The sequence below is a fragment of the Homo sapiens genome, chromosome 14, assembly GCF_000001405.40.
Source record: "Homo sapiens chromosome 14, GRCh38.p14 Primary Assembly".
NCBI classification, from domain to species: domain Eukaryota; kingdom Metazoa; phylum Chordata; class Mammalia; order Primates; family Hominidae; genus Homo; species Homo sapiens.
Genome location: NC_000014.9, coordinates 61,528,364 through 61,551,295, shown reverse-complemented (window position 1 = coordinate 61,551,295; position 22,932 = coordinate 61,528,364). Strand labels below are relative to the sequence as shown.

The following is a 22,932-nucleotide window of genomic DNA, read 5'->3' as shown; positions in this document are numbered from 1 at the left end:
TGGAGGAAGATTGTTGAACTTACATGCTACTTTATGTGAATGAGAAATAAACATTTATGGTGTCTAGCCCCTGAGATCTTGAGGGTTGGTCTGTTACAGCTATGCTTAGCAGTCATCACCCTCATTCAGGACAGAAGTTTTGGTCAGTAAGAGACAGGCCACATCTACTTCAGAGAATCACAGAAGAACTTACATCAACCTCTCCTCTCAGGAATTTTCTGTGAGTTGAGTTCTACCCATTCTGCTCAAGGTTTTATTTTGATTGGAAATCTACTGTCTTAGTGGGAAGGAGACAAATCATTCTAGTCAAAACACTTCCTTTTGCTACAAAATGCATTTATTTCCAGTCAGACAAAATTCTTGAACTGTATATTCGGGTACATATTATAAGGTCATCTTTGATATATGCCCTGTTTACAAGATCCATTTCTAATTATTAAAGTGAATATCAAACACACATCTTTGCATCTTAAAACATAAATAAACTGCTAATGTTTATAAGCCACAAATCTGGTCACTGACATGAGTGGCCTGCAATTCTTCAGTGATGAGCACACGGCGATACAGACAAGATCAGATTACCCAGGTAGGCAGGCAGCAGGCACCTGTAATTCACCCGCTGACTGTGCTGTTGTGGCAGTGACCCTTCTTGTGAAAAAAGAGTTATGTGCAGACAAAAGTGTGACATATGCAACGTGGAGAGGCATTTCACAGAATGCAAACACCATTCAGGTAAATTAGTAGACTCCAGAATGAATGAAAGCTTCATGAATGCAAACCTGTTGTTTACAATACTGGGCATTGTGGCACCTTTTCACTGGACAGTTTAATAAATATCTATTAAAGAAAGTAAGGATAAGAGAAGAAGCTGAAGCAGTCGTCTTGGTGCACAACATATTTTCAAGATTGGGCTTTAGGTTGTGAGTTTCAGAGATACCATTGTTTGTTTCTTCAGAGTAAATCATTCTATTTGGAAAGCCCTTCATTTCCTTAAAAAGACCTTTAAATTCTTCATTAGCATTAAGAGACTTCTTGTAGACTGCCAGGAATTGGGGTTCATTGGCTTAAAGAAGAGCACAGCACAGTTGACAGAACGTCTTGGTTTGTCTCTTGAATTAAGAAGCCTGATTGGCTCAGAATTTCTCAGATCTACTTTATTCTTCACACTTTCCCTCCTTTTGGCTCCTGTTAACATCCCAAGCCCACAGAGACAGACGCTCATAGGTGGAGCGGTATACTTCATAAAATCTCATTTCATTATCAACTATTTCTAGTGCCATGGCTCCCTCTGGACTCTAAATAGTTGATATCTGAAAGTTCCATCCTTCACAGAGTTCTTCACTTGCTCCTTGAAGGTAAGGTTCTTGTTCTAAGGCTGATGCTGGGAAGGTCCCATAGAGGAAATTCCTGGAGAATCTCTATTCCCTTTGGGTTCTCGTGCCCTCTCTCTCACTCCCCATAAGGCTATGGTTGCAATTCTGGAGACACATAGGAAAAGTTTCTAAACTCATCCTGGTTAATCATTGGAAGATGTCCCTCATCAATTGGAGTTAAAACTGGCTCTTCCTTTATGAAGTCAGGGTCAAAATTACTGACATCTTCTCGGGATTTCTGCCAAAAAAAAAAGGGAAACAAGGGTGAGATTTTTGCGCTTGAGGCTTACTCATCTTGCATGGGATATAGCCCATTCCAGTGAGTTCAGAGGAGTGCTCTGTAGCTTGTTCAGTAGCATTATTTACAGTTATTGTTATGATGAAACTGTGCTTTACAGCAAGTCTACTGCATGGTGCATTATTATGGCATTTGGCAACCACCAATTCACTAATCCCATGAAAATCTTGCTGAGCAGGCCTGTCTTAATGGGAGGCTAAGAATTAATTTGGTCATCCAAAAGCAGCTGGCTCACTCACCCTTTATTCTCATTTCACCAAGGTGGCATTTCACAGCAGGCCTCGCTGAGGGGTGTGCAGCTGTATTTGTCAACAGAGGTTGGGTAGGTTCACACTTGTCCTACCTATTGTTTGCGCAGAGTTCTAGACATTTGAAGAGATCTTCCCAAAAGATTTCTTGCAAGTGCTGAGCTTAGGGAACAACTGTTGGTCATTTTACTCTCTAGGTAGATGCGTTACGCCCTGCTGGACCAGCTGTGCAGTTAGGACTACAGGCTCCAGCCTCTGAAGGCCATGCTCTCCCTAATCCCAGGGGCGCTGGCAGGGGGCTGACCATTGAAGGAACGGCTTTACCTCTGGGTGCCTGGTGTCCAACAGCCTAGTAGGCTGTTAGTGATTAAGTGCACTGTATGTTTTTAAAAGTTGAGTATTTTATATCTGTATAAACAAACGCTGCAAAGATCATTTCTAAGTGAGTATCACACATCTCACTGCTCTTACCTTAATCAATGATATTTCTCTATCACTTTTTTTTTTTTTTTTTTGAGACAAAGTCTAACTCAGTTGCCCAGGCTGGAGCGCATGACGCAATCTCGGCTCACTGCAATCTCCACCTCCTAGGTTCAAGCAATCCTTCTACTTCAGCCTCCTGAGTAGCAGGGATTAGAGGTGTGCATCACCACACCAGGCTTTTTTTTTTTGTATTTTTAGTAGAGATGGGGTTTTGCCATGTTGGCCAGGCTAGTCTCAAACTCCTGACCTCAAGTGATCCATCTGCCTCGGCCTCCCAAAGTGCTGGGATTATAGGCATGAGCCACCACGCCAGGTCTCCCCATCACTCTTGATCTATCGCTAGCCTTGCTTCTCTGCCTTCCTCCTGTGGAGCTCTTGACCCACAGATGAGCACGAGCTCAGCTCTCAGACCACAAGCGGGACCACGCTCAGGAAGGCCACCAGCCTCAGCTGCAGAGCTTGGAGAGGAGCCCCTGGAGATCCCAGTATTTCTTTGGTCAAAGAAGCCTGGCCTGGCCTGGGCTCTGCACTGCAGCAGCTATTACAGACCCAGGCTCTCCAAGCCAAGAGGCCAGGCTCAGTGAAGTGAGCAACATCTCCTACCCACTCTGCTTTCTCAGGGGCTTAGAAAAGGCACAAAAAGTGCCCCAAGGAGCATGAGGAAATTGGCCAGAACAATGACTTTCTCAATTAGCCAAACTCTTTTGGGGAAACCTGGAAAGTTTCAGGCCTCTTATACCCTACAAGATTTTAATTTAGGTTGAGAGAAGTTGGAGATTGGGTAAACGAGGGGTGAAACTTGGTAAGAATTAATGTGGGCACATGAAGACATTGTTGTCCCATGGACAAGGAGCCCAGATTCCCCCCAGGGGAGGCTGCCCTGTGCAGTATCCAGCTGAATTTCTGGTCTGTCACCCACAGGGGCCATCCAGCTCTTCTACGGACTTTGGTGGAATGCTGTGACATCTGAAGAAAGGAATGTCTCTGTGACAGCCTGGGACACTTACGATTCTGGGTCTGAAAGGCGGTTCTATTTGGCGATGGTTCAGCTGGGCCCAGTCGATTTCCTTAAAAAAAGGATGTCTCAAGATGGCGTGCTCGCCTCCCTGAGTCAGGCTGCCCAAGCGCATGGTGGGGTTCTTGGTCATGAACTGAGTGAGAGAGAGAGAAAGTGTCAATCATTCATTCACATACAACCAGCACGTCACAAGACAGCAGGCATCAGCCATGGCAGAGGAGCTGTGCGAGACTTTCTGGCAGGTCTTGCTTAACTAGCTGGGTTTTCCATCACAGGCAGCACAGTCAGTATGAATCATGCCTTAAAGGCGCGATTGCCTGTGTGGATTTATGGCTTTTCCCACTTCCATTTCAGACATGGCCACTAAAAGAAAGCAGGAGGGTCCAGTTTTCTTTTCTGTAAACACCATGTATTTTTCTTTCCTCTTTAAAGAAAAGAAGCTCTTTATAACAGTGTGCCTTTCCCCAACACTGCAGTTGTGGGCAGCAGACATCTTATGAATGGGGCTACTTTCAGAAACAGCTGTGCCATTTTTCTGAGTGACCTGACCAGCTGGCCAGGATTCCTGCTCTCTGACGAGACCACAGAGAGGAGAGAGAGTCGTTATTTTTGAAGATCTGTGTGAAGAAGCAGCAAAGGTGACATACTGAAAAGGTCTGTGTCCTGGCTCTAGAAAAAACAAAGTTGGCCACTTTTCTTTATGCAGCGAAGATATCATAGCTCTAGATGAAAGGCTTTTCTTCAAGATGTTCCCCCCACCACTGCTGTTTCGAAGTAGGTTCAATGACTGAGATTCCATTGCTCCATAGACCAAAAACTAAAACGAGCGCTGCCACACAGCTAAGCGATGTGTGCATAGAGATTCTCTGTATTTCCATCAGTTGGGAAACTTCCTTAGTGCTGGGCTCCTATCAAAATATGCTGGGCTAAATCTGCTTTCACAAAATAGCCAGGAAAGGTGTTTTGATCACTTCCTGAGCAAGGATTAGTACAGGATAATTCACTTTTCATGGCCGGAGTGTGGTTCTCAATTTCAAAGACACTGAAGCTAATTTAATTTCCCATATTGAAAGAAAATTGCCTTGGATAAAAAGTTTTGTTTTTGTTTTTATTTAAATCAGGTTATCTTTAAATAGACTCATGACAGTCCCCAAGCACCTCTTTCCAAATCTGATTTGTGAACAACACAAAAGTAATGCTGTGTTTATAAAAATTGTTTTGGAGCTGAATTTACAGAGAAAATCTTGTTGAAGGTGCAGACACGGAAAGACAGTGTTTGGAGGTACCTCCCACTGCCATGCCAGGTGTCCAGAGGTGTCAAGCTGCCAGTGTTGATTCAAATGAAAATGATAATGTTGAAGAAGGAGGCTGCAAAAGTTCCTAAGCAACCTGACGGGATATACCTTGTAAAATGCTTTCAAAAAAGCTTCAAAGGGCAGCTAATAAATGAATATACTGACAGGGTTTAATCGCTTCTCCTCTCTCCTAGTAACAGGAATTAAAGGCCACAGGTGGTTCTGGGTTGGAGGCAGGACCCAAAAGTAAATGCAGCATTCAGAGCTGCACAGGCCCAGTCAGAGCAGCTGCCACTTCAGGCACTTACAGTGGTCACCCAGGATTCAGGAGATGCATATTATAAGTAACTCAGTTCTGTAAGAGCTAGGAGTTAGTTCACACTGCTTGGGCTCTCACTAAGTAAGCCTGTGCAATGCAGGCAGGAAGGGAGAAAATGCTTACAAAAAAGAAATGAGTAGATTCTTGCCTTAGGAAAGTCAACGGGATACAATTCCTGATGGAAGAGCAGTTGCTATTCTAAGAGCTAATTAACAAGAAACAATGCTGCAAAAAACTTGGGAGACAGGACGGCAGAACACACCCAGATGGCCTGTGGGAAATTCCCAGGCCTGCCAATGATGTGAGAGAGGACATCTTGTGAATGGGTGGGTACAGCCTGTTCTTCTGGGCAAGACAAACAGTGCAGGACTCTATATGCCAGGGTGGCTGAAGCCCCAGTGTCCAAGAGGCTTGCCCATTCCTCCCTGCCCCTGGCACTGAACCCAAGCTTCCATGGGGCACTGTGGAAGAGGCCTTGCCTGACGACAAGTAGACCAAACACGACCGTCCGTCCTCTAAAAACTGCACCCTTGGAATTGGGGACAGGCAGAATAACCCTTTCACTAGCTTGATACTTAGCCTCTTGGGGTTCTGATAAATCCTTTTGAATAACCAAGCAGTTTTGTTTTTAATACCTTGGCCTGAGCCCTTTAGATGCAGCCATCCTCAACTTACAAAAAAAACAAACCAAAAGAAAAAACAAAACACACACACACACAAACAAACTTTGATTCAATTGACAAAGGTTTTCAAGGTGTCTACTACATGTAAGGCAGCACACTAGGGGTTTCTTGGGGATACGCAGATGACAAAGACAGTGTCTCTTCATCCAGGAGCTAATCAAGAGAAGGGGGAAGAATCAAGCAAACTTCATAATACACAGCCGGATGAAATGAAAAGAGACTTAGATCAAGTGCTGTGAGAGCTTGGAAGAGGCACGGGGCAAATAACACTGGGGCTGGTGGTGGGAAGGCAAGTGACAGCCTCGTGGAAGAGGTGGCATTTGACCAGAGATGAGGACGAACAGAATTAACATAGTAGGCATGAAGGAAGAAAATGCGCCTGAGGACACAGCCAGCACAAATGCAGAGGCATACAAGTGCCTGGTACAGCTGGCATGCAGGGATGGCTGAGGAACTGCGGGGGCAGCCGGTGGGATCCATCCGAGGTGAGTGATGAGAGCTGCACGGCAATTTAGGGGATGACACTAGCCACAGCGTGATGAATAAATCTTAAATGCAGAGGTAGCGCCTGGTGGTGAGCAGTTAGAGGCTGAGACAATAGCTGAGAACACATGACAAGTTCAGCAACTAGGAGAGTTTCTAGTTAATTGGAAGGAAGAGTTGGAAGCACATTCTAGAGGGCCGTGGAAGAATAAACACAATCCACTAACTGCCGGGAATGGGAGTGAAGAGTCCAAGATCACAGGGTCCTCCCTGGCTGCCTGATGGGGCAGTGGTGTTGAGTAACAGAAATGGAACAAAAGAGGGGCAAGAGATTATTCTTTGTAGCATGAGTATTAGTAGCAGTGTTAGTAGTAGTAGTATTTTTGTTAGTGGAACAAAGACAAAAATAGCTCACACTTACTGAGATCCTACAGTCTGCCAAATCTGGGAGGCTGATGGGCTCCGCTTTGCATTGGAGGTGTGTGGGCACCCACATGCAGATGAATTCTAGGGTAAATCTGGGGTGCAGGCCAGGGCTGGCCATCTAACGCTCAGAGACATTGAAATTTGAGTAACCACTGAAGCTGGGAGGGCAGGTTAGATTGTGGAAAGTGACAGAGACAGACTAGAACTGATACCAGCCCTAGGTCTCAGACACATTTTATTTGGCCTACCTAGTGTGTTTTGAAATAATTTTAATTACTTCTCAAATATTTAAACGCTAGGAAATGTCACATCACATGAAAAGTCAGGTTTTCCAACTTCTCGTGGAAAATGAGATACTCGGGAACACTGGGCCTGCACTCCTCTCATAGAAACGGCCTGGAGTTGAGCAGGGGCTTCTGCTTTTCATGGGGCACCAGATGCCCAGTCAGTCACATGCCCCACCACTCCCTATCACCTCCCACCTGGCTGGTATCACTCACGGACTTTCATGGCTCCTGACCCCTGGTGTAGGGTGAGAAGCAGCCAGAGTGGCAGCTGGAGGATGCCATGAAGAGGCCAGAGGAGGATGAATACCATGAAACAGAAACCAGGACCGGGAGAAGGAGGGTCCGGGGTGATACTAAGGGGGTAGAAGCTTTGTGTGTTGTGGTGGTGGTGGGGTGGCCCTTCTACCACTACCCCCGTCCAGTGATGTGGAGATGAGGAGTTAAGGGAACATTTAACATTAGTCCCAGGCCTGAAATCTTTCACAGTTCACGTTGGTGCAGATGGTGTGGAGTTGGAGGTGGATAGCTTGCCATCCTAGGCTGGGCACAGGCCTTTCCCTAAACTCTCTGTTCCTACTGCTGTGAATGGTGACAGCATAATCCTTTTGCAGAAAACTTTCATTATTTGCTTATGTCCCTAATGGGACCCAAATGCCAGTAAGTTAACAATTGTGCTCCTCGGGGCCATCACTTTCATCCACATTTAAGGTCACACTGAAAAGTTGCCTCACCTCAGCTGACTTTCTCCCTGACTGTGATCCAAGAGGGAAAGTCGGCCAAAGAGGAAAATAATGTGACTTCATGAAATATTCTGCACACATTTACTAAAGGAAGCAGAATGTTTTCTAGGGCCAAGAAAAGCACTTTATAAGCTGCACAGAGTGAGTGAGGGGACCAGGGTGGAAAATCTGGATTCTACCCCAAGTGTAAGTCTCAAACTGACTGGAGAGCAGGGGAAAGAGAAGGGTCAAGAACTCAGGGACTCATTTTATGTTCCCCTTCCTGCTGTGGCCCTCATTACAGTGGAACTGAACTAGAGGATACTCAAGGAATCAGAGGCACACCTGGCCCCGAGAATGAGACACTTAACAGTTTTTTTCCCAGACTACAGAGGAGGTGTGGCTGCAGGGGAAAGCAAGCAGGCATGCTCCCTCCTGACGCTAGTTCTAAGGGGACATGTAAAGGATTTGGGCCAAGTTTGTATAGGAATGTCCTGGGAGGCCTCCTGCAAGCCAGGGAAGGCTGAAAGAACTAACAGCTTCTCTGACATGGAGGGCTGGTCAGGCTCTGCAGTGTCACTGCTTGTGTTTGTATCATTCTTTCACCACTGAGTTACTGTGTGACTGTGGACAAATTTCTTAACTTCTCTGAGCCTTAGATTTCTCAACTCTAACATGAAGATTTTCCTATATTTTAAAAAGTTATGATGAGTCAATGAGAGAATTAACGTAAAGCGCCTGGCATAAAGAAAGCCCTCAAGAAATGATAGTATTAGTGAACATCTTGTTGCCGTCCTAGGCTCGAATAGACTGTCCCTAAACACTCTGTTCCCACCGCTGTGAACAGTGGCAGCATAATTCTTTTGCAGAATACTTCCATTATTTGCTTATGTCCCTAATGGGACCCAAATGCCAAACTTGTAAGTCCATCCTGTTCTACTAAAAGGCAGGGGCACAGATAGAAAGCTGCTGAGAGACTACACTCTGAGGTCAGCCTTGACCCTGAGGCTCATCTGGCTCTCCCTGTTCCTCTACAGCCAGGTAAGAGAGAACAAGATCTCTTTCTGCCTTCACTGTCCTAGGCTCCAGTAGTGCAGTGGGAGGAATGGTCTTTGGAAAATAATGTTCCTTTTTCTTGCTTTTTTTTAATTTCTGAGATAAGATCTTCCTATGTTGTTCAGGCTGGTCTCAAACTCTTAAGCTCAAGTGATCCTCCTGCCTCAGCCTCCTGAGTAGCTGGGATTATAGGCACATACCACCAAACCCTATTTGGAAAACTTTTTTTTTTTTTTTCCTGACAGAAAACCTTTTCTAAGACAATCTTAAAACGAGAATACAAACAATAGTTTTTTGTTTGTTTTGTTTTTTTTTGATATGGAGTCTCGCTCTTGCTGTCTAGGCTGGAGTGCAATGGTGCACAATTTTGGCTCACTGCAACCTCCCCCTCCCAGGTTCAAGCAATTCTCCTTCCTCAGCCTCCCGAGTAGCTGGGATTACAGGTGTGCACCACCACGCCCGACTAATTTTTGTATTTTTAGTAGAGACGGGGTTTCACCATGTTGGCCAGCCTGGTTTTGAACTCCTGACCTCAAGTGATCCGCCTGCCTCGGCCTCCCAAAGTGCTGGGATTACAGGTGTGAGCCACCACGCCCGGCCTACAAACAATAGGTTTTAATGTGCAACTATATCTGCATTAACAATAGGACAGAGAAACTAAATGCAGCAAGATGGGTGCAGTGGAGCAGCTTCTTTGCAAATCTGGTGTCAGGTATGGTGCTTATCACATCTTGTGGGCACACAGGAGGCAGCTTCAGTTTTGAGTTGTTGGATGTTCCAGATTATAGAGTTTAACGCTGTGTCATTATGAGTCTTGAAATAACTGGGCCCAAATGTACTTTACTCACTAAAATATAAGTAATGGCCACAAGTATTTTTTTCCTCTTTCAAAATCTGTCTGATTTCATAGGAAGAGGACAAGTTATATAAATAAAGCAATTAGTCTAATAAGATTTTCTTCCAGGAGCCAGAGAACACTGTATTTTCTGCCTAATGGTTGGATGTGGCTGTTGGGCAAACAAAATGACCTTCTCCATTCATTCAATTTCAGACCTTAAACAAAGGGCAGAGAGAGAGTTAGCAGCTAATGCTGGCAAGTTAGAAGGCAAGGAAACTATGCCACAGAACCTTCCTGCCAATATTCCAGAGCGATGATCCTAAATGGGGAAAAGGCATTTAATGGCTCTAGAGAGGGTCCTGGGGAGAAAGGGCAGAGAAAGAGCACAGGACACAGAATAGAGTGCGGTTCACAGCCATGACGCCCAACCTCGCCATGACCATAGACCCTAATGGCCACCTGGGGCTGACGAGAAGCACACCACGCATGCGTGTTGCAGGCGCGTGTCTGTCTGAAGGATGCTGCTGGCACACGCAGATTCTGACCCAGTTATGAAGACCAACCTTCTCCTTTTATACCCCTCCTGCCAGCTGTTGGGGAGATCTGGAGACACCCCGTGCTAGCAGCACCCTCCAGCTCAGGGCAGTGGTCATGCAGGGATGTGGCTGCACAGTATGGGAGAGACACCAGGCTTGGACCTGGCATTGATAAGTCACTTTTCCATAGGAGAAGGCAGTGACAGACATTTAAATGCAAGATGGGGCTGATGACAGTCCACTGGGGGTGGGATGGGGCTTGGTAGGGTGGAAAGGACAGACAACAGACTTCCTGAATCTCTCTGGGGAAACAAACTGTAATCTTCCCAAGTCTAGGTTCTTATACCGAATGGTGCTGCTATGGAATACTGGACGAGCCAAGAGAAGGAGAGGTGCTCTATCCTGCTAAGATTGGATCTGGATGGAATTTGCTGGGGAGGGCTGGAACTAGTTACCTGCACACTCATGGCAATGGACCACCCTGCCAGGTATCCAGACTGGTTTGAGAAGGGGGAAGCTGCAGGAGTGGAGAGAGTAGAGAATGATACCGTTTGATACAAGTTACAGCTTAAGAAGTGGTAGCCATTACTACCATATATGTATGCTGCATACTCCTTTGTTGCATAGGCATTAAGTGTTCCAAATTCATTGGATATAATCCTTAAAGCAACTGTGGTTATTATTCCTAATTTAAAGATTAGGAAACTGAGAAACAGACCCATCTGTAACCTGTCACACAGTTTGGGAGTGCTACAGTCAGGATTTGAACTCAGGCCTTTGCTCTCAGTCCCTACGCTAGACTTCCCCTTGAGGCTACCAATCTTCTTATTTGGATTCTGGGTTAAGATACTTGGACCGACAGGTGAGGAGAATCATTACACAGTTTACTTTACTTTCACCTAATAAATGACACTCAGGACTTCATCTGATGAGAATTCACGCACTCTGTGTGTTTCCTTGTGTTGTACTTCTTTGCTGGCTCATGTGACATTCTTTTTCCTCTGATTCTATGGAAGGAGAAGGGCTGAGAAGTACATACAGTGCAGGTGGTAAGTGAAGGGAAAGAAAAGTAATAGGGCTGGAAAAAATCCGAGGCATCCTTCAGCCTGACACCTGGTTTTATTTCAAACTACTGAGGGTCTTTTTGCTGGAAAAGATAGAAGGACACTTAAAATTTTCAAATACTCAAAGAGCTGTCGGCCAGAAGAGGGATTAGATGAGAAATAATTTCAGGGAGAAATAAGTTCAGGGAGTGGAAGTTAAAGGCAGCATATCTAAATACATCATAAGAAAAACTAAAACACGTAATGTGGTTGTAATACTCAGTACCATTAAGTGATGAGAGTGCTCCCTGGCAGGAACAGCATTGTGTCATTGAAAACACGTGAAGCAGAGCCGGACTGGCCTGTCCGGCGTCAGGTGGGTGGGTGGCCACACCAGTGGCCTCCACAGTCTGTGCCCATATCAAGGGACTCTTTTCTTTCTTCTATTTTTGCATTTATCACTAAAAACTCTGGGAGGAAAAAAAAAAAGCTGGCATTTTGAAGATTGTCCTTCCCTCAGCTACAGATGCTTTGTTTTCCTTGAGTCTGAAATGGGCTTTTCTTTATTAAAAATAAAGTGAAATAAACTTGCTCAAGCTGATCTCCCTGAGCCAGTGATGGAGGAAGTGGGCATGTGGGTATATTTGAGAATGCCGGTGGGTCAGTGCCTTACCTGGCAGGTTGTAACTGACCAGCATCAGAATATTCTGTGCGATATCTCCAGAGACACACTACACAGTGTACTTTATTTTCTCTCGATGAAACTCAGTACACTAAATGCCCTATACTGTTCCTCTAGCGGGCAGGGGCAGTGCTCAAATCCGTGGTGGGTTTGCTGGCTGTGTTTTCCATGCTGTCTGTGACTGGAATCCAGCAGCCCTTCATAAGCACATACTCAATTCCTTTCCAAGGCTCCCAACACCCTGCCTTTCCTGGGTTTTATAATCATTATTGCTTCCTTGTATCTTCTTTCTGGTCATGGGACAATGTTGATTAACCGTAGGTAAAGGTTAGAGGCAAGTCTCGGAGATGGAAACCCAAGGTCATGCAGTTGTGCCAATGCCCGTTGTTAGACAACATGCTTCTATTCCTGACAAACCAGTCTCAAGCAGCTCTGACTGATGGGGCGGATTTCAATGCTCTCCAATGACTTCCAAGTGTTAAGAAAAAGCTGCTGCTACCCTACATGCCCAAGCTATACGAACTACTTTTTTCCAGGTATGATTCCCCAAATGTAGCTACTGAAGAGAAGTGAGTGCTGAACAAAGATTCTCTAGTGGGGACTATACAATGTCCTTTATCCTCCTCTGATGAAATCAAGGCCAGTACCCTTCTTTATCCTGGATGCGCATTATCTTTGGCATCCAAACCAAATCTAATGATCAACTGCCCCAAATTACTGACCTTTGATAGTTGGCAAGGACAAACAAACAAAAAACAACAAAGTCAAATACTTTTGTTGACAAGAGTTTTTCTAACTCGAAACAAAAAGCTTTTCTGACCCACAGACACCGGTTAGCAAATCTCCACACAGGAAAAGTTTCCGTGGTCATTTTACAAAAGCTTTGACATCTTTATCTTCCTGGCAGGGATGGAGATAAATGAGACATGCAGCATGAGTACTCTATTAAAAATACATTTTAAAAAATCCTTTACACTGCTATCAAAATGTAAGGACTTCCAACCTTAGGAAACTTACAATTTAATGAGGGAAAAAGAAGTAGAGATCAAGAACTTTAGTAAAATTATATGACTTAAAAAGACCCAAATACAAAATCTCTGGGAAGAGCAGTGTTTTTCTGTTTTCTGCAGACACTGGCCTTGATCTGTGAGCAAACGGTTCCTTTTCTGAAGGGTGTTAACCTCACTAGGGGTTTTGGTAAGAGGCCTGTGGGGCACCTTCCTTTCCTCAGACAGGTATTCCAGTCCTGGCAACAGTCTGCCAGGTTGCATGTTAACCACTCCTCTTACTCAAGGATCTTTTGATAACTTTCTTTGGATTTCCCCTAACAGTGTTTGAAAAACCAGCCCTAATGATCTGGGGTTGGATCCTCTGCGTTACTCGGGTCCCATTTTTCCCTCCTCTTCCCCAGCCTTCTCCTGGCTGACCACCTTTGCTGGCTTCCTTGAACATTCCAGCCTCTCCCAGGAGGGGAGTAGGGAAATGAACAGGAAGACAGTCAATGCTCCTGGAATTCACTGCCTGGTGACAGATGTGGGACACACTCAGGGCTAAAAGAGGATCCCCGAATTAACTGTGGTTCTCCCTCCTTTGTGCGTACAGGCAAACAGGATTCCTGCAGACAATGCTCGGATGATGAAATCTGAGAGGCTGGATGACAGAGAAACCCACATGCATACACACACACTTTATAAAGCTTAGGAACAAAAGCACTTTATAATCTCCTTCTGATGCCAAGTTTACAGTGCTTCCAGAGTCAACAAAGGTGACTCAGGAGAGTGCACCCAGCTCCTTTCAGCACTTATTTAGCTCAGCCACCTGTGTGAGCTCAAAGACAAGGGTGCCGACTTCACCTGAGTAGACCCTGAGTCACGTGATTTCTTGCTGGAGATGATTCAGCAAAGGAGCACTAACCTCTGAGACAAGGCTTCAGCTTCCTGAGCTCTGCTGACTCGCCTGGGACTTCCCTAAGCCCTTCTGGACCTAGATGAGGGCAAAACTCAGTGGAACCTCAGAAGCCCTAAAAAAATGATAGACTTTCTTTTGTCTCATCATTATCAGCATTTTGGGATGATTTAGTCAGCCTAAGAAACCTGATGGCATGTTGACACCAGAAAACAGGTAGTATATATTCCCAAACCAAGTTAAAAAAAATTAAGAAATAACAGCTGGAATGCCTTTTATTTTTTCTTTACACAAATGTGTGTGTCATCGTCATATGCCTTTTTTGTGTTAATTTCTGAGGATCCTGCCAGTGTGAATACTCCATTCTCTGCGAGTCGCAGGTCAGGCTGCTTTTGAGGCAAGCACACGTTAAGTATTGAGCAGAAACATTTGAAGCAAAGATGAGAAAGACAGAAGGGGAAGCAAGAAAAATAGTCTTCCCAGTGTGCCTATTTGGGTGCATATAAAGTTACTTTTAGATGTGCGATTACTGGTTAATGATTTGGGGAATTCTTTTCAAGTAGAAATCCTGGGCTAAAAACTAAGTGTGCTCAAGCTACCCCCGCACCCACTGATTCTGCACTCCATGGGAAAAGTTCTCACAAGCAAGTCCTTTGTCCACTACCCACGTCTATAGGAAATGTTTGAACAGCTATACACAAAGAACTCACAAGTCCACAACCTCGGGGGTGTTGCGGGTGGAGAGGGCAGTGGTAAAGGTGATGACAGGGAGGGCCTGTGGGGACAGTAATATTAGATTAGTGGTCAGAAGATGCTGGAGCCTGCCTTGCCAGTCACACACTTTTAGAGGAATGCTGGACAGTACACACCCTCCCCAACCCTGAATGTAGGCCCTCGCTGACATCACGCCAGATGAAGCCCTGAGGTCTTTAACATCTGTAACTCTATGGCATGTAACATAAACAGGTGTCTGACCAGTTTCCCCAGATATAGAATAATAATAATACCTTTCATTTAAAAAGGTAAGAGGGAATTCAACAAGCTTTCCTTCTTAAATAAATCTCCATCTCAGGAAGCCATGGAAAGATGCCCCTCCCACACTAAGACTGTAGAGAGAGGCACTGTGAAGGTCTGGCTTGGAGATCTCAGCTCTTCCTGCCTCTCAGGGGGAAAGGGCAGATCCAGCAGGCCGGGAAAGGATCTCCCAGGGTCCCAAGGAGGCAGCATGGGGCAAAGTCCAACAGTGAGGATTCTCTCCTTCTCTGGTCTCTTTTCTGTTAAAAATGCTTCTTTGGGGTACCCTTCATTACTACCCTGGAGGTTGAAGGACACTTCTTGAGAAGGCATAGATACTCTTCAGGTATGCTGAAGAAATGAGTTGTGCTAAAACCACTGGTTAATTTTGTCTGTGGCAAAAAATCATGAGGGTGACATAGACTCCCAGGCCAGGAACCCGAGACTGGATTTAAGAGATGTGGCCAGGATCCACAGGGGAGCTTGTATGTGGCTCACATCATTAGCTCTTTCTGTATATTTGTATTGTAAACCATTTCCCTTCATTTGTGAAGATGGAGATCACTTTTTCTATACAGGCTAGAAATGTTTCTTCATACACACACGCTGAGCTTGTTTATAAAAGATATTCATTTATATGGTGGTTTTAACAACTTTTCCATGTGGAAATTTTAGACGACAGTAACACAGACCCTCATGTACTCATCACTCAGCCTTGATGGTTACTGACACATGCCCAATATTGTTTCATCTGTTTCTCCCCACAACTCCTGGATTAATTTGAAAGAAATCCTAGAAGTCACTTAATCAGCAAATACTCCAGTCTGTTGGTCCACTCCTTATACAATAGCCAGGGTGATCTTTTACACATGAAGTAGTGATTGCATCACTCATGCTTGCTTGGAATTCTTCAAAGACTTACGTTGGCACTTCAGATAAAGTGTAGACTCCTTCGCGTGACCTAGGATGTCCTTTGGGCTCTCACTGTTCCCTCAGCCTCCTCACCTGAAGCTCTCACTGCCCCACCCCTTTGCTCATCACACTCCAACCCGCCTGCCATTGAGCTACTCAAATGGACTGCTCCTTTCTCAAGACCTCTGCACACTTTCAAGCCTCATTTCTCTTCAGCCTTTATTAAATGTCATCTCCTCCAGATGGCCTCCTTTGGTGGCCCAGGTCATGTTAGATCTGCCTGTTAAATAAATGCTTTCAAAGAACCTTGGATTTTATTTTTTTCTCATTAAATTGTAAGTATATAGTTAATGTTTAATTTCTCTTTAAAATTTCTTTCTCCCTCCCCACCCCAACTGGACTGTAAATTCCACAAGAGCAGGATCATGTTTGCCTCACTCATCACTGAATTCCTGGCACCTCGCACAGAACCTGAGTATTGCAGAACCCATGCCTGCTATGCACATATGCATTGATATAAGCCTATTATATAAATAAACAGATCAATATCTATTTGGCTATTTACACCCCACCTATATGTCTTTGGTCAAGATTTAAAAGCTCCTGGAAAAACAAAAATACAATTTCCTTAGGAATAAAAGCCTACCACAGCCTTGTGTAAAATTAAGCACTTAATAACCTTGATGATGTTGCTGAACTGTTCAAGGAGAAGATGAGGATAATGACATCTCTAAGTGTGTTGTGAAATTACTACTCACAAGTTAGCAATACTAATCACTTACTCTTGTATCGTGCATTCCACTTGGAAAACACTTTCATGTATACTGCCTTATTTGAAGCGGGCACTATAGGTGTTATTATCACACCTTTATAGACTGAAAATCAGTGGCAGAAGTCACATGAGGTCTAGGGTGTGTTCTTTCCATTCTAACATGTAAAGTCCCTTCATCTCTCTGGGCCCGTTTCCTCATCTACAGATGAGGAAATGTGGACAAAATATTTTTAAACTATTTCCAGCTCTACAATTCTGTGTTTATGCCTCTAATGATCACAAAGCTCTATAAAATTAAGGGCAAAGACAAATAATTACAGTTCAAAACTTAGCACTCATGATTTCCCTACTGTTTTTAGAACTATGCAAAACACCATCCAATGGATTCAACTATTCACATGAGGAACTCTTGAAGTCACCAAGCTCCCAGAAAGCCTGATCTTAGGTGGACACAAAATTCTGGAAAAAGGCGTCAAGTCAATATTGGTAAAGAACACAGTATACCTTGATCTGGCCCTGTGCAGCCAAATGAATGCTTGTTCAGAGTGCACGTACCACATCTTACTTATCTATTCATCTGTTGATGGACACATGGGTTGCTTCCACCTTCGGGCTATTGTACGTAATGCTGCTATGGACATGGGTGTACAAATATCTATTAGAGTTCCCACTTTCAATTCTTTTGGGTAAATATCCAGAAGTAGAAGTGCTAGATCATATGGTAATTCTGCTTAATTTTCTGAAGAACCTCCCACCATACCATTATCCACACCATTTTACATCCTCATCAGCAGTGCACAAAGGCCCCAATTGATTTAAGTAATGTGTTAAATGGCCTTTGATGAGTCACAATTTCTCAGTACCTCATGGTTTCCTCATCTATAAAACGAGGGGGTTGGAAGGGACAATCTCTAAGTTTTCTTCTGGTAGTAAAATAACTATATTGGCCTAATTAAATCAAGTTGCAATTAGAGCCAGAAAGCAGCCTGAGTGGTTGGCATAGCACACCTTGCTATCTCGAACCCTCCTCCTAATATGACAAATACTTTTTCAGAGATAAGGGCAGAGTGTAAAAAAATCATTTCATGCATGCAGCTCTCAGCAGTAATAGTGCAGGACACTTCCTGGGCACGTACCCTGTGCCAAGCACTGCTTCAGGCACCCACACATGTTATCTCATGCCAACCACGCAGTAGCCCTGTGGGTTGTACACCCCACCTGCTGAGGCATGGAAGAATTAGGCCATTTGCCCAAGGAAATGGAGAGGAAACTAAGGCATGCAAGAATTATGCCATTTGCCCAAGGTCACACAGCCTATTAGTCAAAGAGCCAAGATCTGCCCCCAGGCAGCTCTGCTCTGGAGGCAGGTTCTTAACCAACCCAATTCTGATGCCTTTCCCTCCTCAGTGTGTCTCCTCAAGTCTTGAGTGCTCTGAACATTTCTTTTTTCTCTTTGATCACATTTCTATTTAAATGTCTCAGTCCCCTGCAAAGACTAGCTGAATGTTTTCATCTATACCATTTAAGCTTCTTGTTTTTAGGCATGGAGAGTAAAATGCACAAAAAAAAAAAAAAAATCCCAGAAATCCTCTTAGTGATTTTTTTTTTTTTAGTAATTTTATCTGACAACATTTAAGTGTTTTTAAGAAAATTACATTGAAGGTACATGCCTTGAAGGAGGAAAAAACAGAATGCTTATTATGTGCCCGGGAAGTTTACCTATATTATTTCATATAATCTGGACAATCACCCTATGGTATGGATTTTATTACCTCTATTTTACAAGCAAGGACACTGAGATTCAGAGAGGCACAGAGGCTCACCAAGGCCACTCAGCCAGAAGGTAACAGGACTGGGAGGCAGGCCCGGCACTGTGAGCCCAGAGCCCCTGCTCCTTCCTATGTGGAAGATACCCAGAGAGAGCGTCGAGTGTTATTTAGGAAAATGAGTGCTAGACGCATGATATGTAACAATCGCAGCTGCTGCCTCCATCAGTGGAGCAGCTGGCATGAGAAAGGAGCTGAAATAAAGAGAAGTGAAGGGACTTGTAGCTTCCCAAAAGTGAACCTGCAAGGAGAGAGAACAACTCAGTCTCCACTGGATGCGATTCTCCTTAGGCACCAGAGGCTGTTTCCTCTTGGAGGAAAGACCATGAGGCTATTACTGGACAGTGTATCTGCTCGTTACCAAAAATATCCATATTTACATAAAAGATATAGCTTGAAGTAACTGAGCTCACCCGGTTAAAAAGAAACAAGTCTTAAAAATTCCATAGGAATCTTAACCTTGCTTAGTACTTGTCCTAGGTTCTAGGCTAAGGGGATGATACCTAGTTTCAGATTTAGTTGGAAAGCATTCTCTCAAGAGGACTCTGAAACACGAGAATGAGGTTGAGGACTTCTAAAAATGTAAAGACAAAAAATTAGGAATGTCCAACTCAAATGGTGATGTGGCCTCTTAAGATTTCTACTAGACCTAGATTCAAAAGGCATAGGGTATCTATCAGAGAAACACTGATCTGGATTGCTAATCCAGTGTTTATATTAGAGAATATAAAAATTTATTGAGGCATAGACTGACTTTTATTTCCTACCCTTCATGGTACCAAGCCTAGTGACCTTTATACACCAATGCTGATAACAGGCATTTTTTTTATGGCTTGAACCAGTATTTTAATTTGAATTATGAACTGTGGGGTCCTTCATCTAAATATTAAAACTACTAAATCAGCTACAGTAATTGGACTAAATATGTGGAGCATGGAAAACCATTAGTATGATGAAGGTGGCTGTTGCAGGCCACAGAAGGCTGGCATGCTTTTTTACAAAAAGCCAGGTGCTGGGCCATGGAAGTAGGAAAGTGATCATGCAAAGTACGCCTCCGTCTGCAGCACGATGAGGCTGTGTTATCATGGTTTATGTTATCAAAATTGGCTGCAGCCAACCTAGGTGAGTACATTTCCCTTCAGGAAGTTAAGAAACTTCATGGCACAAATCCACGAAGACAGGCCCTTCTCTGTGACTTTTTTTTTCCATAAAATTATAAAAGCCATATTTATGGTTTCCTCTAAAATTTCTACTAATATAACAAATGAACTGTTCTTACAAAAACATGTTAGATAGGAGATATTTGGTAGAATCCCAAAGTACTGTGCTTTTATTTCTGTGAAATTAGTGCTTTCTCAGTTTCAGGAGGGTACTGACACCTCAGCTTGAGGATTGAGCTATGTGTTATGATTCACTTTGGTAATATTTGCCTCAGAAGGATTTCTGTGATTATTTCTCTTTTAGCGATGTAGAGAATTCTCAGGGACAATCAAGCCTTCAGCCCCAGTACACAGTGACCCACATAAAAAATGTCCCTGAAATGGCACTGATTATAGGGCTAGAAGTTTCTAAAGAGAAACAAGTCTTTCAACAAGATAGCAAATATTTCCCACATTTTGCTTTTGTCTCAAATTACTGAAAGGATATAACTTAAGGATAGTAATTCTTATGCCATAGATACTATCCAACAGAATATAGATTGTTCTGATTTATCCCTTCTTGAAAAACTGATCTTTTATTTGCCTTTACAACCCCTCTGCATATAGTAGGTGAAAATACATGATTTTGGAGCTCAACTAATGTGGTTACAGAACTGACCCAAATTACATGTACTTTATTTTCAACATAAAGGCGTCCAGTACATGTTTATCCTCAATTCAAAGGCATCCAGCACAGTGCCTTAAATGCACACACAGAAAAGACTTTCTCAACATGATCCATTACAACATTGCACCTGCAGCCTGGGCGTGGCACCCGGCTTTCATAAGAATAACATGGAGGCAAAATAGATCTGCAGAGGTTTGGAAAACCTTCCTTCTCCTCTCCCAGCCCTAAGAGAAAGACCCGACCGCTTCATCCTGCAACTTGAAGATGCCAACAGAAACACAATTGATATAATAACAGGCTGGGAATGGCATTTACTTGACCCAAAACTCTGGTGTGGCCTGACTGTATGAAGGGGAAACATCACCTGCCCTCAACTAAAGTTACGAAGTGCTAGAAATACTTGCTATTTGGCAAACAAAGTTATCAAGGGCTATTGAAATTGACCCCAAAATAACTACTGCATAAGAGAGGGTCTATTGCATAAGAGAGGGTAACAGCCTGACAGAACTCTGGTTCTTTGATTCTTTAGATTAGAACAATACAAATTTTAGTTAGAGCTAGTGGTTTACTGGTGGGAAGTACTGAAAAGACTCAAGCAGCACATGAAACAAGCTGGTTTGCAATACATCAGAAGCTAGCTGGGTAAGCCAAACTTACAGATTTTAGGATCCCTGTGGCATCTTCATGGAGCCAGGTAGGGTAGACCACCTCATCATTCAGTATGGCCTCAAAGAGGTCATCTTCGTTCTCTGCCTCAAAAGGCGCGTGACCACAGAGCATCTCATAGAGCAACACGCCCATTGCCCACCAGTCTACTGCAGGCCCGTACAGCATTTCCTGGAGGATCTGTGCAAAGGGGGCAGCGTGAGAAGGTGGTTCATACATCAGATTAACAAATGTGTTCTTCATAACTAGGGAAATTGATGCATTAGGAAATATCAAAGTTTTTTTAAAAAAGTCTCCTGTGCTAGCAAGCGTATTTCATTCCATTTCTACAGAGTGGTCTGTTTTCCCTGTGGTCAACTCAGAGGTGCCTTCTCATCTAGGTGAGCAAATATTTATGGCCTGATTGGGCCACTGTGATGGGCTCGTGCAGATCCCAAACAGAAAGGGTTCTGGAAATATATCAGTCTGGAAAAAAAAGGGGACTGGGTTCACTCACTCATACGGGAAGGATTCAAGGATTCAAGAGCCTTTCTTTAGTTCTGCTAAATGACGCTGAAATTAAATCACTAAGTAGAGACAAAAAGGAAAATAAATAGCCATGAATGGCGTACACTTTGTCTTCATTTAGGGCTAAAGCCCAAAGCAACTGCAAAGTTTACATATATATATATATTTTTTTTTATTATACTTTAAGTTTTAGGGTACATGCGCACATTGTGCAGGTTAGTTACATATGTATACATGTGCCATGCTGGTGCGCTGCACCCACTAACTCGTCATCTAGCATTAGGTATATCTCCCAATGCTATCCCTCCCCCCTCCCCCCACCCCACCACAGTCCCCAGAGTGTGATATTCCCCTTCCTGTGTCCATGTGATCTCATCGTTCAATTCCCACCTATGAGTGAGAATATGCGGTGTTTGGTTTTTTGTTCTTGCGATAGTTTACTGAGAATGATGATTTCCAATTTCATCCATGTCCCTACAAAGGACATGAACTCACCATTTTTCATGGCTGCATAGTATTCCATGGTGTATATGTGCCACATTTTCTTAATCCAGTCTATCATTGTTGGACATTTGGGTTGGTTCCAAGTCTTTGCTATTGTGAATAATGCCGCAATAAACATACGTGTGCATGTGTCTTTATAGCAGCATGATTTTCTTTTTTAACTCAAATTCTTATTAGAGGGACTTAGGCCATTTTCAGCCATCATTCACCCAATGAGCCATAAATGAGTCTAGAGGTGTCGGCTCTAGACACCTTTCAATGCTGCCTCCAAAGCTGCAGTGCATAAAAGCAGCCAGTGGCATTTCTGGTCAGAGTTACTGGAGAGCTCAGATTTCAGAGCTGCATCAAGCAGCTGCACTCACCTCTGGAGCGATATAGTCTGGCGTGCCACAGAATGTGGCCGTGGTGACACCATTGCAAATCCCCTCCTTGCACATTCCGAAGTCTGCCAGTTTACAGTGACCCTCGTGGTCCAACAGGACATTGTCCAGTTTCAGATCTCTGAAAGATACAAAGAGCAGCACGAGATAGGGCAGCCAGACCCCAAACCATCCACCTCTCAGAATGGGCACACACACACACACACACACACACACACACACGTGCGGCCACATGCGGCCGCATGAGCTTCCTGTACACACGTCAAAAGGAACAAACTTCTCTGTGCTATCTGGATGACACATTTAGATCAAGTCTCAGAACTTGCCTCATGGCTCCAAGATGATGCGCCCATTAAGAATGGGCTGACCACAGGAAAATGTAGGCTGTCCTGTAAAAACGGAGGGCAGAATGTGGCTTTTCTAGGCTTTCCACTTACCTCATACTCAGCCTATACCCCATCCTCCACTCTAGCACCCATCTCTACCCATCGGAGTCAGAATGAACACCCATAGGGGAGGTGGCCACTGTGTGCCCGGGGTGGTGACAGGCACTAGGAGTACAGCTGATCTTCATCTGCAAGGAACTCACAGTGTAATGGGAGACAAATATTTGCTAGGCTAGAAGCTCCATGACGGCGGGGATTGTGTTTATGCGGTTCACCATTATGCCTGGCGCCATTATGCCTGGCATAATGTACTTAAGAAATACTTGTCGGCTGGGTGCCTGTAATCCCAACACTTTGGGAGGCTGAGGCAGGCAGATTGCTTGAGTTCAGGAGTTTGAAACTAGCCTGGACAACATGGGCAACATCCCAACCTACGAAAAATACAA

General features: G+C 44.0%; 1 protein-coding gene and 1 long non-coding RNA gene across 12 annotated transcripts in view, besides 1 other annotated feature; one reads left to right on the top strand and one right to left on the bottom strand.

Annotated features, from left to right (window-relative positions):
* Positions 320-22,932, bottom strand: part of PRKCH (protein kinase C eta) — a 363,509-nt gene continuing 340,896 nt past the window's right edge. For 6 of the 7 annotated variants that reach the window (XM_024449661.2, NM_006255.5, XM_047431585.1 and 3 more), the window contains exons 11-14: positions 22,083-22,221; positions 20,701-20,889; positions 3,410-3,553; positions 320-1,611 (exon numbers count right to left, since the gene is read on the bottom strand). In XM_024449661.2, coding sequence (XP_024305429.1) covers positions 1,465-1,611; positions 3,410-3,553; positions 20,701-20,889; positions 22,083-22,221 — 619 coding nt within the window. In that variant the 3' untranslated portion in view covers positions 320-1,464. Of the gene's footprint in view, positions 1,612-3,409; positions 3,554-20,700; positions 20,890-22,082; positions 22,222-22,437; positions 22,490-22,932 lie in introns of those variants that run through there. The other variant, XM_011536957.2, reaches the window with a different exon arrangement.
* PRKCH-AS2 (PRKCH antisense RNA 2) lies at positions 5,812-15,923 on the top strand. 5 transcript variants are annotated; one of them, NR_188138.1, is made up of 4 exons: positions 5,812-6,202; positions 8,579-8,673; positions 12,109-12,323; positions 13,390-15,923. It is a non-coding gene; the product is annotated as a PRKCH antisense RNA 2 (long non-coding RNA). The 5 variants fall into 5 exon arrangements; NR_188157.1 differs by lacking the exon at positions 5,812-6,202 and adding an exon at positions 7,810-7,839; NR_188137.1 differs by lacking the exon at positions 8,579-8,673.
* Positions 12,798-13,997: an enhancer, noted in NCBI's record as "MED14-independent group 3 enhancer chr14:62004017-62005216 (GRCh37/hg19 assembly coordinates)". NCBI's record gives its function as "activates an origin of replication core promoter dependent on BRD2, BRD4, P300/CBP and CDK7 cofactors, and independent of MED14, by STARR-seq in HCT116 cells {active_cell/tissue: HCT116}" and the evidence as "EXISTENCE:reporter gene assay evidence [ECO:0000049][PMID:35650434]".